Here is a 7,475-nt window from a genome sequence, read left to right on the forward strand (position 1 = left end):
TGGTGTATAAGAATGCTTGTGATTTTTGCACATCGATTTTGTATCCTGAGACTTTGCTGAAGTTGCTTATCAGCTTAAGGAGATTTTGGGCTGAGACGATGGGTTTTTCTAAATATTCAATCATGTCATCTACAAACAGGGACAATTTGACTTCCTCTTTTCCTAATTGATTACTCTTTATTTCTTTCTCCTGCCTGATTGCCCTGGCCAGAAGTTCCAACACTATGTTGAATAGGAGTGGTGAGAGAGGGCACCCCTGTCTTGTGGCAGTTTGCAAAGGGAATGCTTCCACTTTTTGCCCATTCAGTATGATATTGGCTGTGGGTTTGCCCTAAATAGCCCTTATTATTTTGAGGTATGTCCCATCAGTACCTAATTTATTGAGAGTTTTTGGCATGAAAGGCTGTTGAATTTTGTCAAAGGCCTTTTCTGCATCTGTTGAGATAATCACGCGGTTTCTGTCTTTGGTTCCGATTATATGCTGGATTATGTTTATTGATTTGCATATGTTGGACCAGCCTTGCATGTCAGGGATGAAGCCCACTTGATCATAATGGATAAGCTCTTTGATGTGCTGCTGGATTCGGTTTGCCAGCATTTTATGGAGGATTTTTCCATCGGTGTTCCTCAGGGATATGGGCCGAAAATTCTCTTTGTTGGTTGTGTCTCTCTCAGCCTTTGGGATCAGGATGATGCTGGCCTCATAAAATGAGATAGGGAGGATTCCCTCTTTTTCTGTTGATTGGAATAGTTTCCGAAGGAATGGTACCAGCTCCTCCTTGTACTTCTGGTAGAATTCGGCTGTGAATCCGTCTGGTCCTGGAGTTTTATTGCTTGATAGGCTATTAATTATTGCCTCAATTTCAGAGCCTGTTATTGGTCTATTCAGGCATTCAACTTCTTCCTGGTTTACTCTGGGGAGGTTGCATGTGTCCAGGAATTTATTCATTTCTTCTAGATTTCCGAGTTTGTTTGCCTAGAGGTGTTGACAGTATTCTCTCATGGTAGTTTGTACTTCTGTGGGATCAGTGGTGATATCCCCTTTATCATTTTTTATTGCATCTGCTTGATTCTTCTTCCTTTCATTCTTTAATAGTCTTGCTAGTGGTCTATCAATTTTGTTGATGGTTTCAAAAAACCCGCTCCTGGATTCATTGATTTTTTGAAGGGTTTTTTGGGTCTCTATCTCCTTCAATTCTGCTCGGATCTTAGTTATTTCTTGCCTTCTGCTAGCTTTTGAATGTGTTTGCTCTTGCTTCTCTCATCCTTTTAATGGTGATGTTAGGGTATGCATTTTTGATCTTTCCTCCTTTCCCTTGTGGGCATTTAGTGCTATAAATTTCCCTCTACACACTGCTTTAAATGTGTCCCAGAGATTCTGGTATGTTGTGTCTTTGTTCTCATTGCTTTCAGAGAATATCTTTATTTCTGCCTTCATTTCGTTATGTACCCAGTACTCATTCAGGAACAGCTTGTCCGGTTTCCATGCAGTTGTGCGGTTTTGAGTGAGTTTCTCAATCCTGAGGTCTAGTGTGATTGCAATGTGGTCTGAGAGACCGTTTGTAATAATTTCTGTTATTTTACTTTTACTGAGGAGTGCTTTACTTCCAACTATGTGGTCAATGTGGAAATAAGTGTGATGTGGTGCTGAGAAGAATGTATATTCTGTTGATTTGGGGTGGAGCGTTCTGTAGATGTCTCCTAGGTCCGCTTGGTGCAGAGCTGAGCTCAATTCCCGGATATCCTTTTTTAACTTTCTGTCTCGTTGGTGTGTCTAATGTTGACAGTGGGGTGTTAAGTTTGCCATTATTATTATTATTACTATGTGGGAGTCTAAGTCTCTTTTGATCACACTTTAAAGACCAAAAGGTAGAAGCGCAAAGACGTTATCTGTCCAATATTACAAACCTAGTAAGTGGTGGAATTTGGCCTTGAACCCAGATCTGTAACTCCAGAGCCGAAGTGCTTCACCCACCTCCCTGTGGTGCCTCTACAGAAAAAGAGGTAAGCAGGCATTCCGAAAGCTGGTGGGCCGGGGGGCTGGCCTTGTACTCAGAAGCCATGGAAGTCCCACGTGGGGTGGCTAGTGGTGTAAGGACAGAGGTCTCGGATGGGCAGAGGGATGTGGACAGGCGCGAGGGCGCGCGGCAGGGACTCGGGGGACTGGGAGTGGCGGCTCGGGGCTGCGGGAGGCGATTGGTGGAAGGACAGAGGTCTGGGAGGGGCAGAGGGATGTGGACAGGCCCGAGGGGCCGCGGCAGGGATTCCGGGGGACCGGGAGTGGGGGGTTGGGGTTACTCTTGGCTTTTTGCCCTCTCCTGCCGCCGGCTGCTCCAGTTTCTTTCGCTTGCGGCGAGGTGGGCAGGGTGAGCTCTCGGGACTGATGGCGGTTTTGGAAGAGGCCTGGGGCTAAGGACAGGCCAGGGCGGCGGGAGAGGCGGACCGGTGGCGTGGCTGGATCTGGGCGCGCTGTCGGACCTTCCACATCACCAGCTGCAGGCAGGCGTTTGCGTCCTCGCTGGAGTTGTGGCCGTCCTGGCTGTCCTGGATGATCTGTGCCAGGTAGTCGGCCGCGAGATTCCTGAGGGAGCGCTTGTAGGGGAAACCCAGGTAGTGCGGGAAGAGCACGGCCGTGTCCACCACGGTGCTGTGGATGAGCTTCAGGGCCAGCAGGTCGCTCTCCAGGCTGTGCCCGATGAGGATGGTTTGGGCGCTGAAAAAGCTCAGCAGGATGGCTTGGACTTGGGGCAACGTGATGCTCGTCTTGGCGACGTCGGCCTCGGTGACTCCGGAAAACCTGGTGTTGTAGTCCACGATCTCGTTGTCGGGCTTGACGAAGGTGTCGTACACCACTCGCATGTCGGCGTCCACCACGGTGACGCGGGTCAGCTCTAGGCCATGCGTGGTGTAGCACATCTCACAGTCCAAGGCGTAGATTCCTGGATAAGCGTCTCTGGACAACTCTTTCTTGAAGGTCTCCACGAAGCCATCGAGGCTCTCCTTGCGGGCCGTCCCGCACGTGCTGCTTTGCCACCTGGCAGCCCACAGAGCCAGGAGCAGCTGCACAGCAGGTGTACTGGCTAACCCGGCCTCCAGCCACCTGGCTCGAGCGGACCCGCCCCCAGTGATAATAACACAACTGGTCGCGTACACAGCGGCCCGAGGAGGACACCAGGTACTCGGTGCCACAACGGCAGCAGACCCTGCAGGAGGAGTCGCCGGGCCCCTTCCCCTGGCCAGTGAAGAGGACGGCGCCTCCGGGCCGCTCGGGGTGCGGGAAGGGGTAGCCGTTCTCCTTGAGCTGGTCCTGGGTGAGCAGGAACTCCTGGAGGCGGCTGTACAGGGCGGCCCTGCTGAGGCCGGGCATGGAGCTGGGGGTCAGGCCCTTCAGTCTCTTGAGGGTGTTCAGGACCACGTTCAGGTACCTGTTCTTGTTGGGGCTGCAGTCGTAGGCCACCTTCTCCTCGTTCAGCGCCTTCTCCTCGGCCTCCTGCTTGGAGGCGCAGAACTTGAGACACTCTTCGGTGAACAGCTGGAGATAGCCTCGGCGGAGGACGGTGGGGACTTGGCACCCAGAGCTTCGGAGGATAATGGGTTTCTTCAAACTCAAACTCGGTAAGGATGCACGACGGACGATTCGCTTAGAGCTGGTGGTGGCGGTGGTCTTGCATGCCATCCCTGACCTGTTGCGCGTCTTCCCTGGCTGTCTGCCGACCTTGGAGCCACGGGACCGTTGGCTGCTGCTGGCCACCCGGGTTCTCTTGGCATCTGTGTAACCTGTGACCAAGCAAGGGCTGGAAGGAGTGGGCGATCGTCTTCCTCTTCCTGGGGGCTGAGATGCGGACTCCCGAGGGCCTCTCTGTCAGCCTTGGGGTGGCTGGCAAGCGGCAGGCCGATCCCCTCTGTGCAGGGAAGTAGCACGACTCCGTCACCATCTTGGGCCACGCTGGGGGCACCGCCGGACCCCTGTTCTGGGGCTCCGCCTGGATGTCCACAAATGCTGAGGCCTGCTTGTGCATCTGGGGCACCCAGAGCCCGAAGCTCTGGGCAGGCTGATGAGAGGGCAGTGGGAATTCTGGAGCCTCGAGGGCCGCCTCCTCGGCCACCTTCTTAGCTTCTGGGTATCCAGGTGGGAACCAGCAGGGAGCTGTGGCTCGCAACATCTTGCTGCCTTCGGGAGCACCGGCCGGGCTCTGCTCCGCTCCCAAATGGCGGCTTGCCTCCGGGGCCGCCTCCTTGGCCACCTTCTTAGCTTCTGGGTATCCAGGGCGGAACCAGCAGGGAGCTGTGGCTCGCAACATCTTGCTGCCTTCGGGAGCACCGGCCTGGCTCTGCTCCCCTCCCAAATGGCGGCTTGCCTCCAGGGCCGCCTCCTCGGCCACCTTCTTAGCTTCTGGGTATCCAGGGGGGAACCAGCAGGGAGCTGTGGCTCGCAACATCTTGCTGCCTTCGGGAGCACCGGCCTGGCTCTGCTCCTCTCCCAACTGGCGGCTTCAATGAGTGCTGCGGCCGCCACTTGTCGCCTTTATATAGGCACAGGGCAGACTGGGTGGGACTTCTCCTTGATAGGTTGGTGCTTCAGTCCAATCACACTGAGCCTCATCTTCCACCAGACTCCAGCTTGGGAATGCCTCAGGGGGTGCGCTAATGGAATCAACTGGAACTCCCGGTTGCTAAACTTGGAGCTAGGTTGCTTTTCCTGAGTTAAGTAACTGTCCCTGCAAGGCAGTCCTATAATGGCTACTGGAATTGGGCTACCTAGGATTAAATTAAGGTTCAGGGAGGTTGGTCAACTTGCTTGGGCCCACACAGCACCCCTTGGAGCCAGGACTGGGCCAGCAGTCTGCTGCATGCTGGAGGGCGGGATCCCTCTGGGGCTGCCTTTCCCTGCTCTGTGCACTCCGCCGCTGCGGGCAAATTGAGGACAGGAAGCGGACCGCACCCACTTCTCTCCCAGGACTTGGGCAATGTTCAACACAGGTGGTCTTCCAAAGGTTCATAGAAAATGCACATGGTGAAGAAACTATGCATGGATTTCCACTGGTTTGCACTAAAATAAACTTGTCCTAACTTCTGATAACCTTTCTGAACTAGATCTAGTTTGAGGCACTAAGAAGGATGAGACATCCACTGAAAAGGACTCCCATCAGAGCAACATGAATTCCACGAAAATTGCAGCAAGAGGAAACATCAAATTTATGGTGAAGCTTGGGTGGAAGATTGAAGAAATCATTGACGTTTTAAGAAAAGCTTGTAAGGACACTACCCCAAAGAAATGAACTCTTTACGAATGTATAGCTTGTTTCAAGAAGAGGTGAGAAGATGTGGAAGATGAATCCTTCAGTGGCTGTGAAAACCACTGTGCCCAGATCAGCTGCAGTTACGACGAGAGCTATCAGTGGAAATTTTAAGCAGGAGGGATCACGATCCTGACGCATCCCTCTGACAAATTGTAAGCGGCAGTTGGAACATGGCTTCACCAATATGATCTCGAAGGCAAAGCATCATGAAAGCGATGGCTACCAAGAGGTGGCAGTGGTCCAGTCAAAGGAAAAGGAGGCCAGTCAGGAGCCCACATCATGGCATCAGTGTTTTGGGACACTCAAGGCATTTTGCTTGTTGACTTTCTGAAAGGCCAAACATCTGCTTATTAGGAGAGTGTTCTGAGAAGCTTAGATAAAGCTTTGGTAGAAACATGCTGGGAAAGTCTCACTAGATCCTTGTTCACCACATCAATTCTCTGCTCATTCCTCTCATCAAACAAGGGCAATTTTGTCAGTTTCAATGGGCAGTCCTTAGGAATTCACCTTACGGGCTGCTTTCATTCCTTCTAAATTCTTTTTGTTTCCTAATGATAAAAAGTCTCCTTGCCTTGCTTGGAAAGATGAGAGAAAGTCTCCTTGCCTTGTTTGGACAGATGAGAGATGAGATCCTCCTCTTCTCTCCCAGGACAGAATGGTGAGACTTGAGTTTCCTTTCTCCTCACTCTTCTCCTCCTTGAGGGAGCTGCTGTGCCGGACAGACCTGCCCCCGTGTCTAGACACTGGTAGACTCGTTTAAGTTCCTCACAGGCAATCCTCCATGGGGTCAAAGTGGAAGGACTTATTTCTTGAGGGCTCAGTAGTCCACATCCTGGCGTGCACCTTCACCAGCCCAGGGCGGGGTAGAGGAGGGTGAAAGGGCGTGGCTCAGAGCCCGCTTCTTCCGCTCGGGCGTATCCTGGGAGGAACCCTTGTCCGGTGAGCATGTCTTCGTCTCTACCAAATTCCCTAGTGGGACATTTCTGGCAGCCCTACTTCTTCAGCAGCTTACGGGGGTCAGGTGGACCTCTGCTAGTCACCAGCCTGAAGCCCTTTCTCCATTTCAGCTATTTTGGCAGTTGCCTAGGTGACTTTTGAACCTCATTATCCAGAACAGCAAACGGACGAGGGGTGAGAAGAGTGGCCGTCTGGGTTTGCAGCATAGTGCTGCCTTCTAGGAGTTGTGCAGTCTTCGATTGTGTGAAACTTCACCTGGCTGATTTGTGGCAATGCCTCCACAAATTCGCTAAATTCAGTAGCTTTTGCCTTCCAAGATTCATTTACACAATGTTGAATGCTTTAAATGAATGAGCATGAAGAGTGCTGGGCTGGAAAGTGATGAGATGGGTGGTAGGGACTCCTCGGAGTAGAGGAGTAGAGTTTTACTATTATGACTAGGAGGCAAATAAAAAGAAGCTGAACGTGATCCATAATAAAAGAAGCACACACTCACAGAGCTCCATACCAACTACATTAAAATGGAAATCATGATATTTGGAAATACAACTTAATTGGAAATCATTAAGTAATCTCATCAACCTTTTTACAGTGGGTGGCAGGGCTATGGAGGGAAAACAGCAATGGTTCTGGCACCTACTTAACTTGATTCCATTAAATTCACCCAACAGGCCTCCAGAGAACATATTACTGCTTTGATATTACAAAGGGAAAAACAGCTATGGCGTCTCTGAAAAGCACAACGTGCTAGGACTGGAATGACTTTAAAACCACACATAAATTTCTGAGAGATTTTTGCCATAAGGTACCATCCACCTTACTGTAAACCACATCCTAAAATTGTCTGCAGTGCAAATGGATTATGTGCATCCAACAGGAAACAGCATAGGTTGAGAAGCTGTTACTTAATAGCTTCATTGTCACCACGAGTGTAAAGTGCGGGGTCTCCTCACTTTTGCACCCACGTTTTGCCTGTTGGTTTCTCCACACTGTCAGGAGCATTTGACCAACTCACTGTGGCTCAGGGTCCCTTACGCAGCCTGTTGGGGAAACCAGTGGGTATTGAAGACCTGCCTCTGGTGTGCCAGGAGGTTGTGCCTGCCGGCCACTCTGACTTGCGATCTTCCGCCTCAGTGTATGGCTTCCTACACCTGGGTAATTAACATTGCCAGCATGATAAGGAGGTCCTTTCATCACTATTGCCACTAATCCTTCCGA

The 7,475-nt window shown here is 51.3% G+C and overlaps 1 pseudogene; it reads right to left on the reverse strand.

Annotated features, from left to right (window-relative positions):
• Positions 2,216–3,351, reverse strand: REXO1L9P (REXO1 like 9, pseudogene; annotated as a pseudogene).

The sequence above is a fragment of the Homo sapiens genome, chromosome 8 (genome assembly GCF_000001405.40).
Source record: "Homo sapiens chromosome 8, GRCh38.p14 Primary Assembly".
Taxonomy (NCBI): domain Eukaryota; kingdom Metazoa; phylum Chordata; class Mammalia; order Primates; family Hominidae; genus Homo; species Homo sapiens.